At 40.2% G+C, this 19,885-nt stretch overlaps 1 protein-coding gene and 1 pseudogene across 15 annotated transcripts in view, besides 2 other annotated features; one reads left to right on the top strand and one right to left on the bottom strand.

The window, feature by feature from the left end:
* Nucleotides 1–19,885, bottom strand: part of MAP3K7CL (MAP3K7 C-terminal like) — a 98,774-nt gene that overhangs the window by 32,584 nt on the left and 46,305 nt on the right. For 4 of the 15 annotated variants that reach the window (NM_001371374.1, NM_001286617.2, NM_001286619.2 and 1 more), the window contains 2 exons: nt 12,381–12,509; nt 9,890–9,998 (listed from right to left, as the gene is read on the bottom strand). The exons of 6 other annotated variants lie outside the window; for them this stretch is intronic. In NM_001371374.1, coding sequence (NP_001358303.1) covers nt 9,890–9,959 — 70 coding nt within the window. In that variant the 5' untranslated portion in view covers nt 9,960–9,998; nt 12,381–12,509. Of the gene's footprint in view, nt 1–9,889; nt 9,999–11,812; nt 12,091–12,253; nt 12,326–12,380; nt 12,661–19,885 lie in introns of those variants that run through there. 5 more of the 15 variants (NM_001371373.1, NM_001286620.2, NM_001371372.1 and 2 more) reach the window with 5 other exon arrangements.
* Nucleotides 9,017–9,563: an enhancer, noted in NCBI's record as "NANOG hESC enhancer chr21:30506062-30506608 (GRCh37/hg19 assembly coordinates)". NCBI's record gives its function as "activates a minimal SCP1, AML or CMV promoter by ChIP-STARR-seq in primed H9 embryonic stem cells {active_cell/tissue: H9 hESC(primed)}" and the evidence as "EXISTENCE:reporter gene assay evidence [ECO:0000049][PMID:30033119]".
* Nucleotides 15,029–15,655, top strand: RPL12P9 (ribosomal protein L12 pseudogene 9; annotated as a pseudogene).
* Nucleotides 17,873–17,922: a silencer, noted in NCBI's record as "silent region_13237". NCBI's record gives its function as "represses an Ori minimal core promoter by ATAC-STARR-seq in GM12878 lymphoblastoid cells {active_cell/tissue: GM12878}" and the evidence as "EXISTENCE:reporter gene assay evidence [ECO:0000049][PMID:35858748]".

Raw genomic sequence — 19,885 nt, 5'->3', positions numbered from 1 at the left:
CACTGAATTTGTTGACATTTCCTGCAGTTACAGCTGGCTTCATGGGCATTGGACCTATGTGATCACACAGAGCCCGCCCTCCAGACGGGCCCCACGCTTAATTTAATGCTATAGTGTCTTGAATTTCTTAAAAATTTTTGAATGAGGAACCCTGCATTTTCATTTTGCACCATGTCCTGCAAATTATGAAGTTGATTCTACCTGCAGTATGACCTCTGAGTGCTGGTGTCCTGTAAATTGTCCTGCAGGTCACCAGGGACAAACTGACACTTACAAGGCAAGTGAATCTGAGTAGTGGCTTAAGTGTTGAGGCTCATACAGAAACTTTCCTAGGAACTGTTTGCCTATGAAGGCTCCTAACCACTAAGAACACAGCGGGTCAGTACAACGTTCAGTAGGACACAGACTTGCATTTGAATCTCGGGTTGGCCACTTTTTAATTGGTGAATGTGAACAACTGGCATAATCTTCTTGAGACTCAGTTTCCTCCTCTGCAAAATGGGAAGGGTATTACCTGTCTCTGAAAATTTGTATTGATAAAGCAATGTATATGTCAATCACTGGCCTAAAGCCCAGCACCTAGGAAATAACCAGTAATAACAATGAATGCTTAATATAATTAAGTTCATTTTTCATTCTTTTTCACTATAAAGCCAACCAAAGGAGTAATGTGGAGACAGGGGAGCTGTGTGTGTATATATGTGAGTAGTGGCACTTTTTCCTCTAACCCATGTCTATTCTATCAAGCTAAACTTCTGAGGTGGGGAATTATTCTTCATCATCTGAATAATACAAAGGCAAAACACAGGGTTAAGGTCAATGACTCTAATTACTGAGTTCTGCCTCTGCCACTTAAGGGAGATTTCCCTGATGCAGCCATAACCTCAGGTCTTGTGGATTTACTCTCTTCATTTAAATCTGAATTTAAGAATCTTCTGTCCAGGCGCAGTGGCTCATGCCTGTAATTCCAGCACTTTAGGAGGCTGAGGTGAGAGGATTGCTTCAGTTCAAGAGTTTGAGACAAGCCTAGGTAACATGGCAAAACCCCATACCTACAAAAAATACAAAACAATTAGCCGGGCATGGTGGCGCACACCTGACGTCCCAGCTACTTGGGAGGCTGGGGCAGGAGGATCACTTGAGAATGGGAGGTTGAGGATGCAGTGAGCAGAGATCATGCTACTGCACTCCAGTCTGAGTGGCAGAGTGAGACCTTGTCTCAAAAACAAAATTTACTTCCAAACACTTTTTATATGAAAGATAGTAAAAAAAAAAAAAATTAACTTACGCATAAAAGGTCTTTGAGTACTGTCATTTTAAATCTAAATTTAAATTAATATTTTATTTTTAGGAATAAAATATGTGATAAAAAGTAGCCAATGCACATTCCCAATATATCAAAAAAAATTAATTGCTAGATACCCAAGTCCTTGTTAGAGTATAACATAGTTTTAAGACACAACAAAAGCTTTTTAAAACTTTGCTTCCTGCTTATTAAACACTAGAGATGTGAATTATTTAATATACATTGGATTTTCAGGGCCCATAAGATTACAAGTATAGCTATAGAGATGGATGTGGATATTAACACAGATATGGATAAAGATAGAGATTTGGGATGACAAAGCAGGTTTTCAATACTTTGTAAATTAATAAACATGATGTTATCTTAACCAGTACCTAAAATTGTCAGGCTAACAAGATCATGCATCAATAGACTGGTTTTGCTATGCAAAAAAGAGACTTGATTCAGTTAAGGACAATTTCTCTCTTTTTTTTTTTTTTCTTTTTGAGATGGAGTCTCGCTGTGTCACCCAGGCTGGAGTGCAGTGACTCAATCTCGGCTCTCTGCAACCTCTGCCTCCCAGGTTCAAGCGATTCTCCTGCCTCAGCCTCCTGAGTAGCTGGGACTACAGGCACCTGCCACCACACCTGGCTAATTTTTTGTATTTTTAGTAGAGACAGGTTTCACCACGTTAGCCAGGATAGTCTCCATCTCCTGACCTCATGATCCCCCACCTCTGCCTCCCAAAGCGCTGGGATTACAGGCGTGAGCCACTGTGCCCAGCCAAGGACAAATTTTATGTTTCTTGGAAACACCTATTCACTATTATTGTAGCTATCATTTTGTGAGTGTCTATTTATCCTGTTGTTAGAATATTTTGACTGACTTAGGTTATAACATACTCACTGTCCAAAAAACACCTGCCTCAAGAAGAACTTATTGGGGCTGGGGCAGTGGCTTATGCCCATAATCTCAGCACTTTGGGAGGCTGACGTGAGTGGATTGCTTGAGCCCAGGAGTCCAAGCCCAGCCTGAGCAACATAGTGAGATGCCATCTCTACAAAAAATAAACAAGAAACCGAGTATCATGGTACATGCCTGTAGTCCTAGCTACTTGGGAGGCTGAGGTGGGAGGATAGTTTGAGCCCAGGAGGTTGAGGCTCTAGTGAGCCAAGATTGCACCACTGCACTCCAGCCTGGGTGACACAGTGAGATCCTGTCTAAATAAAGAAATAAATGAGCAAACAAGAGCCTATTGGAAGTATATTTATCCTTCAGCACACCACCAAATAAAATTTACCCCTTCTTTTCTTCTTTCCTACCACAACATACCAGAAGTAACCTTCCTCCATCAACCCCATGGCCTTTGGGAAGCTATTTGTTGTCGGGAAGCTATTTGTTGTCAAGAAGCTTTGAGCTTTCTCTTATAACATGAACTCTGCCTCTAAATGGGCAATGAAGTAACAGTCCTGAGGACCGGGCTTTGAACCCTCCTTCTATGTATTAGTTGCATGATTTGAAGCAAGTCACTTCGCCTCACTTAGCAAACATTTATTTCCACTTTTGTGAAAATGAATGGAATAGCACCTTCCTGTGGGGTTGCAGCCAATATTAAATTGATGAGAAGATGCCAGTAAAAGCACTACTCCTTAGTACTCAATGAACACTCACCTTCTTTCTGGCCTTTCTTCACAACTTTAAGTAATACATTCCAACCAATAAATCCCATAGTATCTCAGACTCTTCATCTGACACCAGGATAATGAACCCCAAGTTGTTACAGATAGTGTATTACTGATTTTATAAGTATTTGATAATTCAGTTTCTACTATAGTTCTCAACTCTGTGCTCCATCAGAAATGTAAATACAGGAGACACCCACCTTCCACCATGCCCTTAAGGCACTTGTGACTGAATGTTGTCACTGCATGCTGAGGCGGCTTTAAATGTAAGCTCATGTTGGGACAGAAGGTGATTCGAGAGAGTTCATAATGACTATCTGAGCCTCAGTTTCCTGCAAATACCTGGTTCCTGGTTTCTAAAATCCCAGTGGGAACTTTATCCCTTGACTTCCTACAGAGTTCCCTGTGAATATGCCAAAAAAAAAAAAAAAAAAAAAAAAAGCCAGAGATGGGGCCTGGGCGTCGTGGCTCACTCCTGTAATCCCAGCACTTTGGGAGGCCAAGGCGGGCGGTCACCTGAGATCAGGAGTTTGAGAACAGACTGGTCAACATGGGGAAACCCCATCTCTACTAAAAATACAAAAATTAGCTGGGCTTGGTGGCGCATGCCTATAATCCCAGCTACTCAGGACACTGAGGCAGGAGAATGGCTTGAACCCTGGAGGTGAAGGTTGCAGTGAGCCGAGATCACACCACTGCACTCCAGCCTGGGTGACAGAGTGAGACTCCGTCTCAAAAAAAAAAGAAGAGAGGGGAAAATGGTAAACTCAATATTCATTTATAGCTTAGTGCAGATGAGGTTTTGCAGTTATTCCAGAGAACAATGATTAAAAGTGTGGAGAGAAGAGATTACTAGATCCGAAGATTACTTCGGATCCTGAGGAGGACAAGGGGAATAATACTGAAGGTAGAAAAGGTTGAAGGAAGAGGACAGTGACAAAAGACACTTTGTGGCTGGTCCGAGTACAATGGTGTTTACAACTACTTAATCACAACCAGCTACAGATTTCTTTGTTCCTTCTCTTCTCCCAGTGCTTCACTTGACTAGCCTTAAAAAATAATGATAAATAAGAAGACACTTCACCTGCACCACAATTTTGCTGAGAGCCAGTTTTAGAAGTACACACAAAAAGATCTCACATAACACCCAACTTGTTGCATTGGATTCAAAGGTAGCTATTGCAACTACTCCATGTAATTCTCCCTACCACACAAAACATCCTGATATTTGAGGAGAAAACTGTATTATTTAAAAGTGACACCAATGGTATGGGTTCCGGAGTACCAAAAAAAACACAAAAACTAAGTGTCATACGATTAATTCATATCCAGATATAAAAAATTTCTAACAGCTTGAAAGAATTTCTTTTTTGAGATAGGGTTTTGCTCTGTCACCCAGGCTGGAGTGCAGTGGTGTAATCATGGCTCACTGCAGCCTTGATCCTCTGGACTCAAGCAAGTGCCCCAGGAATTGGGACTGCAGACATGCACCACCACACCTGGCTTATTTTTTGATTTTTTTTATAGAGATAGGTCTCATTATGTTGCCCAGGCTGGTCTTGCCTGGCCTCAAGTGATCCTCCTGGCTCAGCTTCCCAGAGTGCTGGGATTATAGGTATGAGCCACCGTGCCTGGCCAGAAAGAATTTTTAAAAACAAAATATTAAAAGCTACCAGCTTGAGCTGATACTAGTATTCTTGACTCTTTCTAAGCGAAACAAAAAACTATTCTAAAAAATGCAAAAGACAGAAAGAATTCCAAAGCCAAGGTCTAAATTTACAAGGAGCATGCCAGTTTTTAGCTTAGCTGAAGATGAAGAAAAGTCTCATATAATTGACATGAAATCCTAATGTCTGTCCAACTCTAAATTCCCTCTAGCTGGAGAAGGGCCAGTGATTCTTGAATAACCCAAGAGGTGGGATTCATATTTTTCTTCTGCACTTTTTCTATTAAGAAAATTAACTCCATGAAGTTTCCAGTTTAGGAAGTTTCGACTCTTTGAAATTTCCAGTTTAGAAATAATACTGATTATCATTAATATCATTAGCTCATTAAAGACAGGCATCACTGCCTCTGGGAATTACCATTAGCTAAGTTTACTTTAAAAAGCACTCTGATGATAGGCTGAAAATGGAGATTGCATTGTCAAGGAATATATATATATTTGTGTTCTCCAAAACCTTGTTTCCTTTATTTAAGGACCTCTGGAGGTCCATGTTCTATTCAAAGTCTTACAGCTCATTCTGCTATCACTGAAAAATGACCAACTCCTCATCTACCAGGGCCAGTCTGTCACCAAGTCCTTTCAACCCTTCTTTCAAAATGGACCCTGAATTAAGTCATCCCATTACATTATCTAATGCAGGCTCTCATCACTTTGTACCATTATAAAATGCCTCTTCCATTCTCTCATCTCTCCACATTCCAGACTATTCCGCCAAATTTTTACCACTTTCATCATATTATTCCCTTTTCTAAGGACTTTTGACACTTCATCGCTTTTGATCAAGTCCAGACCCCTTGCTGAACTTTGAAGATTGACTTGGTAACCCTAGTCTATTGCTATCTAAACAGTACCCTATGTAAGTATCCAAAACAATGGCTGACTCAAGCAGGGCTCGGTAGACAACACGTTACTCTTCCACAGCTCAGTGGACTAGTCTTAGTCTTGCTCCAAATGACTAGTTTTAGTCTTTTCTGAACACACCATGTTCTTCCTGACTCTTAAGTTTTGCTCCTGCTTTCTGTTTAGAGGGAAAAGAAAGAAAACTGGTTACAAGATATGTAGCCCCTTTTTTGTATCTAGTACCCAGGAATGGCATCTGTCCTGTACTGCTCCTCTATACTCTACCTGCCCTCAAGCCCAGTTTGACTATCACCTCTTCCAAGAAGCAATTACTAACTGCTCTGGGTGACACAGACTTTTCTCCAAACATCTTGCCTTACAAAGCCCATAGGAGGTCATGCTGTTCTCTTTTGCACATCCCACCCACCTTTGGCAGACTGCTGGAAACACCGAAACCAAATAAATTCAGCTAATTGCCCAGAGGTAAAATAGGATATGAACAATCTATTAACTGCATAACTAGTCCCTAAATAACTGCAGGTCAGTAATGCTATAAAATCTACCTTGACATCAAGGTGAGATGTAGGTGAGACACAACTGCTTAGTGGTTTACATTTCCCTTATACTCCACAATCAATTATCATAATTTCAGGGGTAAGTTGAATGCTTAATTTGTATCAAGCACTCTGCTAAATACTTTACCTATAAGATGTCATTGGCTTCTTATTACAACCCTGTGAATTACTACTATACGCATCTTACAGGAAACTGAATTTCAGCAAGGTGGAATGATCATACAAATAGTGTTGGAGGTAGGTCTAGAAATCATGCCTCTCTGGCTGTAAAGCCATATCCTTAACCTCTACACTAAATCATCTCAGGAATATATAGTCCTGAAATGACTGGATGAAATGAGCACTAGGCTAGGCTTATCAGAAATGAACATGTCGGGCCAGGTGTGGTGGCTCACGCCTGTAATCCCAGCACTTTGGGAGGCTGAGGCGGGCCGATTGCTTGAGGTCAGGAGTTCGAGACCAGCCTGGCCAACAAGGTGAAACCCCGTCTCTACTAAAAATACAAAAATTAGCCAGGCCTGGTGGCGGGTGCCTGCAGTCCCAGCTACTCAGGAGGCTCAGGCAGAAGAATCACCTCAGGGAGGCGGAGGTCGCGGTGAGCCAATATTGCACCACTGCACGCCAGCCTGGGTGACAGAGAGAGACTCTGTCTCAAAAAAAAAATAAAATAAAAAAGAAAAGAAAAAAATGAACATGTCAACATTCACAAGCAAAGATGTTTCCTTTTCTCATGGACTCTGCTTATTCATCAACAATAAATCCAACAATGTAGAATTACTCCCAAAAAGTCCACATTAGTGCCCTCATTTACTATGAAAGTCTAGGGGGTTTTCCTTTGTTTCCCCCTAAATGTGTGGTCTGCAGGCCACATGCACTGGAATTCAAAAGGCATGCACAGCTCGCTTGATGGCAAGTGTTTTCCTGTGTGACACTCCACATGTTCCTTATTCAAGAATTTAAAGGGAGTGTCCCAAATATCTGCAAAGCATCTTTTTGTGCACTCAGCCTCATGTATATGCAAAAATAGAGAGTCCTGGGCCCTGACTATTCTTTGAAATCTTGCATTTGTGATATGCATAAAACATAGGAGGAGGTTTTCTTTTTCTTCTTACAACAATAATGGGTCTCCTGAATCAGAATATATAGGAGTGGGGCCTTAGAACACGTGTTTTCAATGAGTGTTCTCAGGTGATGATTTTAATCAGGCAAGGTTGAGAAACACTGAACCTCAGCTCCTGCCCTAGGTTCTCCAGGTAGGTGCCCTTTCTAGAGATATGAGGACACACTGACCATAAGATTAAAATACTTAATTTGGGGAGTTTTTTCATAAGCATCTTTTGGTGGGGCTAGAGGGTAGGAATAATTTAAAATAAATTATAATCCTTTTTTGAGGCTACCTATTAAAAACCATGGATTTTGAAAGTGGGCATTCTGGAGTCATTTGAAAGAGAAGAGAAAGACACTGGAACAAACCAGTCTAAACTGATGGATGAAAAACATCTGTGAGCTCCTAGTCAAGGGCCAAGAGAGTTCAAAGAATGGTGACAAATTAATTGCAAGTTGTACATCCTGTATTTCAAGAAAGAGGTTATTCAGGCAAACCAAAGATGGAGATTCACCTCTCCATGGCTCTTTTCTGTACATAAATTAAGTTCCTGTTAAAATGTTGACAGGGGAACAGTACATTTATTTGGTCCAAAATTAATACTGCCTGAGATAAATAAGCTTTATATACTGAAATTTTCTTTGTGAGGCTGTTGATTGTAACAGGACTTGTTCTGCTCACATGCAGCATGAGTAAAAAAGAAAGGAAATTATACATTTTCCTTCCCTCTGGATTTTGGGTTTGCACGCGTGTGTCTTGAGAGCTAGCCACTCAAGATGCCATGAAAAGCACTGACTATTCCTTGAAATCTTGCATTTATGAAATGTATAAAAACAGAAAGGGCTTTCATTTTTCCTTTTAGAGAAGCAGCATCGAAAATAGAGAAAGTTCAGACTTCAAGCCTAGGGCCCTGAGTTCAGAACATAACTCCATTACCTACAAACAGTGTGGTCTCTGGGTGGCAATCTCTGTGTCTGTACATAAGGAATACTAATGCTTATGTTGCATGGTTTGTTTTTTGTTTTTTTTGTTTTTTTTTTGAGATGGAGTCCTGCTCTGTTGCCCAGGCTGGAGTGCAGTGGCACGATCTCGGCTCACTGCAAGCTCCACCTCCCAGGTTCACACCATTCTCCTGCCTCAGCCTCCCGAGTAGCTGGGACTACAGGCGCCCGCCACCAGGCCCAGCTAATTTTTTTTGTATTTTTAGTAGAGACAGGGTTTCACCGTATTAGCCAGAATGGTCTCAATCTCCTGACCTCGTGATCCACCTGCCTTGGCCTCCCAAAGTGCTGGGATTACAGGCGTGAGCCACCGTGCCCGGCTGCATGGTTGTCTTAAGGATCAGAGATAATACAGGCAAATGCTTATTATGACAGAGAAGTATAGTTAATGGCAGTTGTCATTTCTATGTTGGGGTGGATTGATTTGCCTGTTGGGAGGATTTCTTCTCACCACTGTCTTTCAGGGTGACCCTGAGTGAGGACACAGTACAACGGCAGATCATGAGAAGAGGTTTGGAAAAACTGATTATGAAGAGTCAAGCCTTCACCTCTTCCTGCTACGGAATACATCCTCCACTGGAGGCTAACAGTCTAGGAAACTCCAGGTTAAATGTGTCACCTGGCATAGTAACCCCAAGCCTGCAATGGTTGTGTGACATCAGATTTCACAGAGCTCCTTACTTTGCATTATTTTGGAATGATTCTGTCCCTTTTCAATTACTACTTTTTTTAAAATAGAGATGAGGTCTGCCTGTGTTGCCCAGGGTGGTCTCAAAACTCCTGGGCTCAAGGGATCCTCCTGCCTTGGCCTCCCAAAGTACTGGGATTACAGTCGTGAGCCACCATGCTCGGCCAATCATTACTTTTTAAAGCATCATCCCTACATGGGCATTATAGCAAGAGAGAGAGAGAGAGTCCTCAAAAGACCCAAGGTTTAAATGGTAATGTTGTTTAAGCATGTGATTTTAACAGATGACATTAAACTAAGAGCAATGGCGGATGCCAGTGGAAGAGAGCCAAGCCTTCCTTTCCTCAGCACCGTGACCTCCCGCCACATGAGGTCTTTTGTTCAAAAGTGGTGCAATTCAATGTGTGTTAAGAGGTCACTGAGGGGAGCCATGACGAAGGGCTCTAAGTATGGCAGTTTCACCTCAGACCTTACTATTTAGAGAGGCTCCTCCTCACCTGTCCCATTTATCATTCCTGCTGAAGTCTGTTGATTTAGCCAGAAGTGTGGGAGCACCAGTGAGAAACCAGCATTTCTAACTTACGCTTCAGCAAATGTTGCTGTAAACGGAACAGTGATATTTTCATATTACCTAACCAACTGCCAGCTCCTAATAAAAGTTTCCTCATGCAGTTTTAACAATAACACACTTTGCTATTGTTAGAAATTGTTGTAGCTCAGTGAATTTTATTCTAAAAGAAAGCTAGAATGGGGAGGGAGGAGAAAAAAAATGAGTTTAAATGACCCGAAAACTCAAGGTGGAGGAAAGCATCACTAGAGGCATTTCTGGAAGCCGCCATCTAACAATGCATGATGAAATATCACATTCCCCATCATCAGGTCATGCAAGCATGCAACTTTAAATTTTCCACAGAGGCGTGGCATTAGAAAAGATGCTAGAAAGGTGGGGTATGAAGGAAACAATCCTTCTTCCAGAGCAGAGTATACCTGAGGCGTCATTGAGGCTAAAGGCGATGCGTACAGGCTTGTCAGCAGGTACCCTGGCTGTGCTGATCATGTGGGCACCTGAGCCTCCGCCTTCTCCTGGGTCTTCCAGCTGTGACAGCAAGAGAGAGCCATTGTCACTTTATCCAGCATCATCCCCCTAAATACTCAGAGGCCCTTGGAAATTACAGGTGAAGTTATTAAGGTTAGTAAGCATTACCTGCTTATTCTAAAGATACTCCTAGTTTTGAGCTTTTTCTATGTCAAAAGTATTCATCCGCCCCATTTAAATCTTTTTTTCTTGGCTCAAGAAAAAATTGCTTTTGCAATATACATCTAGAATGAATGAAATATGGGAAATATCTCTACCTGCCTTACTTGCTCAATATCTTTTTACACGGACCAGTTCAATCCTGCCTCTTTAAGGTCATATAAAGTATTTTACTTTCAACTGAGGAGGATAAAAAGAGATATAGTCTTAATAAGGTATCAGATGGCTTCAGATTAGACTTGCTTTTCATGTTCAAAAGCCTAAATTAAATCTGAATTATTAATCTGAGAGTGGCAAAGAATGGGTTTCATGGAATCATTTAAAGAATACCAAAAGTCGCTGGGTGTGGTGGCTCATGCCTGTAACCCCAACACTTTGGGAGGCCGAGGCAGGCAGATCCCCTGAGGTCAGAAGTTCGAGACCAGCTTGACCAACATGAGAAAACCCCATCTCTATCAAAAATTCAAAAATTAGTGGGGCATGCTAGCAGGCACCTGTAATCCCAGCTACTTGGGAAGCTGAGGCAAGAAAATCGCTTGAACCCGGGAGGCAGAGGTTGCAGTCAACCGAGATCGTACCACTGCACTCCAGCCTGGGCGACAGAGTGAGACTCTGTCTAAAATAAATAAATAAATAAAGAATACCAAAAACCACTTTAAAATATCTGTTATATGATGAATATCATATGCTTTAAATATCTGATTAACTACCTGTAAGTCTACCAAACATTTCTAAGGATGCACATCTTAACACTCTATAAAAGCAAAGACAAGACTCAAAAACATCCTATAGATATTCTACTCCAGCTATCAAATCATCATTTAATTAATTAAGGTAGAATGAATGGAAAAAAAACATCCTGCAGATAAAATGGAATGGGCAAAAACACATGAATATTTCTGGTTATAATCAGAGAACTTAGCCCAAATATATTTTAACCAAGATATTTGATAATTTGATGTCTATAGGGGACTAGGAAAAGATAGTTATAAATACATGATATCTTTCTTATTTAAAAACATATATTTAACTTTTCTATTTTTAGTCCCACCTCCCCTAAACCCTCTACTTTCCTTCTCATGTAGACAGTAAACCAAAAAACCTGAATGATATTTTAAGGGAAATAGCTCTAAAAATGGCAAAGTATAAATAATCTCTTTAGCCATCCTTAAAGAGATTCTGGGAAATGCTTTAGCAGGACATTTTCTCACAGCACGGTTTCTGACTTTTTCCCATAACTTTCCTCTATCTATCTAAAAATAGTGTCCAGAACACTGAATTTTGTTTTTAAAAGTATTTATAGAGCCAAAGCCAATGCATATATATATACATGTATATTTAGACATACATACATATGGAATCATCTTACCCAGCATATGAAAAAAGATCAGGCTTATATTAAAACCCTAGTATAGCTTTGGAGAAAAACCAGCAACTGTTTATTATCCAGTTAGAATCATAATTTGGCCCATTTATTTAGCACTACAAGTAGCAATGCACCAAAAAGCTCTCCACTGTCCATATCATGTAATTCTAAGTTAGAAAGAAATAGTGACATGAAACATTTAATTTTAAAAAAGAGTAATATAAAATATCTGTTATTTGATTCAGGATTTGTTTTATCTTAACTCTGCCACCCTTCTGTCCAGTCTTACCTGCTCAGAATCAAGCATTTTGTTAGCCACCTAGGGAATGGCATGGATTGTCTCAAATTCAACAGAAGAAACCATTAAAATTCCCTTAACATTTTAGCTAAAAAGAAAAGTTTTACTGTTATGCATTGTACAATCACCGAATCACTTTAGCATAACATCTAAGGATGGAAAGTTGCACTCCTCTTTTGGCTAAATCCCCCAACACTTTCCCGCACCAAGAAATCAAGTACAAGAGGTAGAAATTTGCCTCAAGGATTTTGTAAATAGTCCTCTGGTATGGTTTCCAGCTACAGGAAATGGAATTAATAAACACAGCTAATTAGAGTCCCTCCCCTCCGCTCAATGGAGAACATCTGTCTGCCTATGAAAGGATGGTGGCAAGACTGAGTGGACTTTGAGTTCCACACCATGTTGACCACAAATGCCCCTACACCAACTTGCCTTTTCATCACACCGTCTGGGGAAACGAACCACAGGTTCCTTCTCTTGGCTACAGGCTGTAACAGAGCTTTGGTTAAGTTGCTGCTGATCTGAGCATTTAGTTCAGTTTTCACACCTGTTGGCTTACCTCACTTAGTTGAGTGTCTGCACTTGTGTAACCCAGAGCCAGCCACTGCCTTGGCCAGTCGTTGCCTTTGTGGAGTAGAGACTCAGTGAGAGACCAGGCTGCACCTGCTGCATAGCAGCCACTGACAATCTGAGGAGCGGAGACAGCTGTCAGGGCAGCACGCTGCTACCTGCTCTGCCCCAGACCCCAGCGTCCCACGGGACCTCCCTTCCCTTCCCTTCCGCTTCCCTTCACAACCCCTCTCTCCTTTCCTTGCCTCTCTAACAGCCAGGATGTTGTCATCTTTCTAGAAAAAGCAAGAGCAAAAGAAAACCCTCCTCCTGTCAGAGGCATTGATAAACAGCAAGTTGTGGGGAGTCCAAATGTTTTAATTCATTAGTCCTGGCAAACTTAAAATACAAACAGACTTGCTTCACAAGACAGGAATGTCTTCAGCGTGACCCAATCGGTGTCTGTGTCTATTCCAGCAAACTGGCAAAGATAGCATGACTCCAGTCAGCAAAAATGTCGGCCGCTCCAATCAGCTCAGCCAGACCCAGCCAACTTGGACAGGCCACAGGCTGACTCTCAGATGATAGCAGCGAGGATCCTGGTTAAGAATGTGAGGTTTGAGGTTGAGCCCATGTTGGGCTTGATGACTCGATTCATTCTTCAAATGCAACCAACCACAAAAGGAGTCAATGGTAAATAAGAATACAGCATTAGGATTTGTCAACCTTTTTAAAAACTGTAAACCTGGATGTCATTGGTACTTAAAAAATAATTGGATTGTGATTTTTGAGGTTAAATAAGCAAAATAAATATTAGGAGAAGGCAAACACAAGCCACAGACTGAAAGAAAATATGCAAAATACATATCAGATGATGGACTGGCATCCAAAATATACAATGAACTCTTAAAATTCAACAACAGAAAAACAAACAACCCAATCAAAAAATAGGCAAAAGATCTGAAAGATATCTCACTACAGAAAATATACAGATGGCAAGTAAGCATATGAAAAGATGATCAACATCATATGTCATTAGGGAATTGCAAACTAAGACAACAATGAAATACCACTATACACCTATTGGAATAACCCAAATTCAAAATACTGACAACATCAAATGTTGGTGAGGCTGTGGAGCAACAGGAACTTTCATTCCGTGCTGGTGGGAATGAAAACATAATAGTATATCCCACTTTAGTAAACAGTTGGGCAGTTTCTTACAAAAGCAAACATACTTTTACCACATGACCCAGAAATCACACTTCTTGTTATTTCCCCAAAAGCCTGCATACAGATGTTTATAGCAGGTTTATGCATAATTGCCAAAATTTGGAAGCAACCAAGTTCTTCAATAGGTAAATAAATCCTGGTATATCCTGACAATGGAATATCATTCAGGGATAAAAAGAAAAACTATCAAGCCACAAAAAGATATGGAAGTATCTTAAGTGCATATTACTAAATGAAAGAAGCTAAATCTTGAAAGGCTACATGCTGTATAATTCCAACAACATGACATTCTAGAAAAGGTAAAACTGTGGATACTGTAAAAAGATCAGTGGTTGCCAGGGATTCAGGAAGAGAAAAAGGAAGGATGAATAGGTGGTGCATGAGGGATTTTTAGGGCAGTGAAACTATTCTATATGAGACTGTAATGGTAGATACACATCATTACACAATTGTCCAAACCCATAGAATGTACAACACAGAGTGAACCCTAATGTAAACTATGGACTAATAATGAATAATAATGTATCAATATTGGTTCATTAATTGAAGCAAAGATGTTAATTAGGGGTTAGAGGGATGAGGAAATATATGGGAATTCCATACATTTTACTCCGTTTTTTTCTGTAAATTGACAACTGTTCAAAAGGTATTAAATATACAAGTAAAAGGACTCAGCAGGCTTTCTTAATCTAATGAATGGAAGGCTAATTTGTTATGATATATACAACAATAAAGCTGTACAGACTCAGACAATTAAAACATTCACATATAAGCTTATTCTTTTCAGGAATTAATATTACTGTTTTAATATTATTTTATGGTTATAATAAAACTTACTAATGCATTATAATTTATCGAAGTGAATTTCTTATTCACGACCTCATTTTAATCTTCCAGAAGATCCTATACAATAGTCTTTGTCAGTATTGCCATCCCGATTTGACAGATGAGCAAATTGAGACGCAGACAATTCAAATAACAGGCTTGAGGATGAATGACCATAATAGAATTAAGAACCCAGATAGGATCCAGGTTTTCTAATTATTAGTTCAAGCTACTTCCACTACACCAGGATGCACTCCGTATCAAAGATTTAATTGGCCGGGCGCGGTGGCTCACGCCTGTAATCCCAGCAATTTGGGAGGCTGAGGCAGGCAGATCATGAGGTCAGGAGATCGAGACCATCCTGGCTAACATGGTGAAACCCCGTCTGTACTAAAAATACAAAAAATTAGCCGGGCGTGGTGGTGGGCGCCTGTAGCCCCAGCTACTCGGGAGGCTGAGGCAGGAGAATGGTGTGAACCCAGGAGGCGGAGCTTGCAGTGAGCCTAAATCGTGCCACTGCACTCCAGCCTGGGCGACAGAGTGAGACTCCATCTCAAAAAAAAAAAAAAATTTAATTGAAATTTTTTAGAATAAGTCTGACTCTCAGCTTTTGTTTGGAGGAGACAAAAGTATCACTTTCTTCAGTGGTCCAGTATCCAGGTTCATCTGACACTAGCCATCTTTATCATGACACCCAAGTTCCACCCCAAGAAAATCAAAGTTTTGCATCTTATGTGTGCCAATGGGAAAGCAGATACCACATCTGTGCTGTCTCTCAAATTGGCCCCCTGGGTCTGCCTTCAGAAAAGCTGGTGGTGACACTGACATTGCCAAGGCAGTCAGTGACTGGAAGTGGCTGAATTCTAGTGAAACTGACAGTTCAGAATGGACAGACCTAGGATGAAGTAGCACCTTCCTTTTCTGCACTGACCATCAGGCTCTCAAAGAACCATACAGAGATAGAAAGAGACAGTTACATATTAAACACAACGGAAATATTGCCTTCTATGATACTGTCAACAGCTCCTCACCAACACAGCATAGATCTTTATCCACAGAACTCTCTGGAATCATTAAAGTGAGCCTGGGGATTGCCCACTGTGTGAGCTGCAACACTGACAGCTACGTCCTCATGACATCAAAAATGACATCAAGAGAGGTGTGGTAGATGCCCAGTTGGTAAAGGGCTACAAAGAAAAAGATTTCATTAAAAGATAATTTGACAACAATGAGAAAGGAACAAAAAAAAATACATCTAAATTGTCTAAATGTTCTCTTTCTGAATCTGATAACATAAATTCAAGGTTTTCAGTCACAATTAACATTTACCAGCTTTTCTGTTCCCATATGAGCAATGATGTATTTCTTGGCTCTTTATCCAAACACTTTCAAGAGAGTAACAAATCTGAAATCCAAGTGAAATCCCTTCCCATAACTGAAACCCAAAATAACTACATGGTATTTTAAGAATTTAATAGAATTATATAAATTCAATCCAGAAAGGATGTGTTTCTGCATCAATATATAAACAGATTAACAGTATGTTTCTTGATGGTGGCAATAATGTATAATTTTTATTTTATTATTTTCAGCAACAAATGTGTTTTTACAGTTATTTGGAAAGTTATTTTCAATAATATTCAAGGAGCTTTTCACATACTGAGCTCTAGACTTGCTTCTGAATTATGATCAATAATACACTCCTACCATAGACTATTGTCACAATTATGCAATATCAATTTCTCAGTACAACTCAATACGTATGTAGCTTGGTATGTTCCAGGCTAGTGTTTCTCAAAAGTACCTGATTACTAGGTGCCTTTAAAAAATACCCATTCCCAGGCTTTGCCATAGTGACTCAGTAGTCTGGGTAGACCCTCATTCTGGAAATTTTAAAAAAGAAATTTTAATGGCTATTCATAGCATTTAGAGAATAGTTGAGAAGACATTTTCCCCAACATTTTAAAGTCAGCTCTGTATTGCTATGTGACATATACGGCCGGTAGTCTCCAACAAAGAAATATTCCATGACGGCAAAATAATCACTCTTCCATTATATCCAGAGGTCAGCACAATTTTTCTCTAAAGGGCCATATTAGAAATATTTTACACTTGTGAGCCAGGCACGGTGGCTCACATCTGTAATTCCAGCATTTTGGGAGGCCGAGGCAGGCGGATCACCTAAGGTCAGGAATTTGAGACCAGCCTGGCCAACATGGTAAGACCCCGTCTCTACTAAAAATACAAAAATTAGCCAGGCGTGGTGGCGAGTGCCTGTAATCCCAGCTACTCAGGAGGCTGAGGCAGGAGAATCACTTGAACTCGGGAGGTGAAGGTTGCAGTGAGCCAAGACCACACCATTGTACTCCAGCCTGGGCAACAAGAGCAAAACTTCATCTCAAAAAACAAACAAACAAACAAAAAAACAGAAAGAAAGAAATATTTTACACTTATGAGCTCTTAAGGATCTCTGTCACAACTACTCATCTCTGCCTCTGTAGCATAAAGGCAGCCATAGACAACATGTATAGGAATGGATGGGCTCTGACTTTATTGACAAAAACAGGAAACAAATGCACATGGCTGTGTTCCAAAAACACTTTATTTACAAAGAGAGAGCAGCCTGGATTTGGCCTGCAGACTATAATTTGCCAGCCTCTCCAGATCGAACATCCAGTGGACGGCCTTATCCTGACTGAACATCCAGTGGACAGCCAAGGCACAGCTCCCCCCACAGTGCCGTATGGCACATGCAGAGTCCTCTGGGAGAAGTAACTCTTCTTTTGCTGCCACTTTCTTCAATTCATTCTTCCCAACTCCATCCCCATAAAAAAATTTTGTCAGATTTCTCAGTTAGTAAAGCAAAAGTCCCAAAGTTATGTATTAACCCTGCTTTTCTATGAAGCACTGATACATCTGTTTGAAGAAAACACCAGTGAATAAACACCTCTTCCAATTGGTTCATGAGACTGCATGTGCAGGCCATGGTAAGAAAGTGCCACGGGACCTGTTCCATACTGTGAGCTGGTCTTGTGCCATTGCTCTTTGGAGGAGCCTCTTCCTCCGCTCCTGACCCCAGTGAAATGTCAGGTAAGGTTTCCCAGGTTTCCCAGGAAGCCTTCTTGCAGTGCTAACTTGCAGTAATGTTGTTACTCCTTCTCAAACCTTCTCGTAGGGCAATGCAATGAAAAACCACAAAGCAAGGATCAAGGCTCAACGACAAAAACAAGACACCACCTCCCCCAGGAACTTCTTTTTATTTTAATTGACAAAGAAAAATTGTATGTTTCTAGAGTAAGGATTTCTGATCACATACTGTCACAGCCTTTGATTTTAAGGGTAACTGGGAGCCACTTTTCCTAATCAAAGTTCACTTCAGGCTTAAGATAGCAGAATGATCAACCCTATATCATTCGTGCCCCCAAAGCTCAAGAGAGGAATGACAGGGGTTAGAACCACTGAACCACTCAATGGTTTCTCTTTCACTAGCTTTGTGGTTCCCTTAATGAAGGAGACAGAGCAATGTGCAACATTTAAGTCAGGCCACCTGGGTCTCCAACCCAGCTCTGTCTCTTACTCATGTAGGACTTTGGTTAAATTACTTAATAAATTATATGCCACAAATTCCCCAAGTATAAAATGGGGGATAATCATAGTACCTGTCCTACAGGTTGTTATGACAATTAAAAGAGCAATACAAGTACGTGCAACAATGCCAGAAATAAAACAGGCACTATGTAAATAGAAATCATTTTTTCAAGGGGGCAAAAACATAGGAAAAAACCACATCCAAAGGGTACCTAGATTCAGAAGACCTGGGTTTGCATTGTGATGCTGCATTCAAAAGCTGTGGAAGTTTAGACCAGAGACTTCATACCTCCAGGACTCAGTTTTTTCATCTAGGTTGACAAACTTTTTTTGTAGAGGGCCAGGAGATAAATATTTTAGGTTTTTCAGGCCATACACTTTCTGTTACAATTACTCATCTCTGCTGTTCTAAGTTGAAAGTAGTCATAGACAATATGCAAATGGATGGATGACTCCAGTAAAACTTTATTTACAAAAACAGTAAGTAAATGTGTATAGCTGTATTCCAGTAAAAGTACAGACACTGATATTAGAATTTCATATAATTTCCAAATGTCACCAAAGATTATTCTCCTTTTGATATTTGTCAAATATTTTAAAATATTAAAACCATTCTTAGCTCCTGGGTCATACCAAAACAGGCTGTGGGACAGACTTTACCTGATCCTCAGAGTTTTTGGACCCTTGATTTGTATAGCCAACAAGCAAGCATGGACTAACTCAGGGTTTCCCCAGATGGGAATAACGTGATGTGTGTGTAGCCACTGTTTTGCCTTTTTAACTTGATTTAGCTATCTATTTATCTAAATGGATTAATCTTTTATCTAAATATTTTATTTATGAAAACTTAAATGGTTTTATACAATTTGAGTTTACCATTTAAAGTTAATTAAATGTGACACATGTGTTCTTTTTTTTTTTTTTTTTTTTTTTTGAGACGGAGTCTCACTCTGTTGCCCGGGCTAGAGCACAGTGGCGCGATATCGGCTCACCTCAACCTCCGCCTCCCAGGTTCAAACGATTCTCCTGCCTCAGCCTCCTGAGTAGCTGGGATTACAGGTGCCTGCCACCACGCCCAGCTAATTTTTGTATTTTTTAGTAGAGATGGGGTTTCACCACCTTCGCCAGGCTGGTCTTGAACTCCTGACCTCATGATCCACCAGCCTCAGCCTCCCAAAGTGCTGGGATTACAGGCATGAGCCACCACCCTTGGCCTGTGTTCCTTTTCTATAAACACCTAGACAGCAGACTCTTGGAGAAAGAATAAATTTCCTTTAATATTTTTGACTGTATGAGAAAATAATGTTTATCTTATATTTTAGTATTTATATCTTTCCCAAGAATATAACCTAGAAGGACTAACAGCACCAAATTTTAAAGCTTGTTATTATAGTATAGATAGATTTACTTTACCTTCTTAATGTTATCCTAAGGAAAACATAAATTTCTCATCATCTGTTAATATCCCAGTGTGTACCCCAAAAAGGAAGAGCACTCTCTTCATTAACAGAACCAAATAGCACCATCACACCAACAACCACCACCACAGTAATTCCCCAACATTACCCATCATCAGACAGCATTCAAACCTCCAATTTTATCACAAACATTTTCAATTGTTTTCTCCATTAATTTTTAAATTTTTAATCAAGATCCAAAGTCCGGACACATGATGGACTGCTAAGTTTTTATATTTATAAATCTACAATTACTCTTCCTCCCTCTTTTTTTGCAAATTTATTTGTTAAAGAAACTATAGAGTTCCCAAAGTTACACCTCCATAATGTTTTTTAATATGCTTCTCTGTTCTCTCTGTCCACTGTAAATTAGCCATTGGATCTAGAAACTCGGTCAGATTCAGATGTGACT

This window comes from Homo sapiens, chromosome 21, assembly GCF_000001405.40.
Source record: "Homo sapiens chromosome 21, GRCh38.p14 Primary Assembly".
NCBI classification, from domain to species: Eukaryota; Metazoa; Chordata; class Mammalia; order Primates; family Hominidae; genus Homo; species Homo sapiens.
This window is presented reverse-complemented; position numbering and strand designations above follow the sequence as displayed.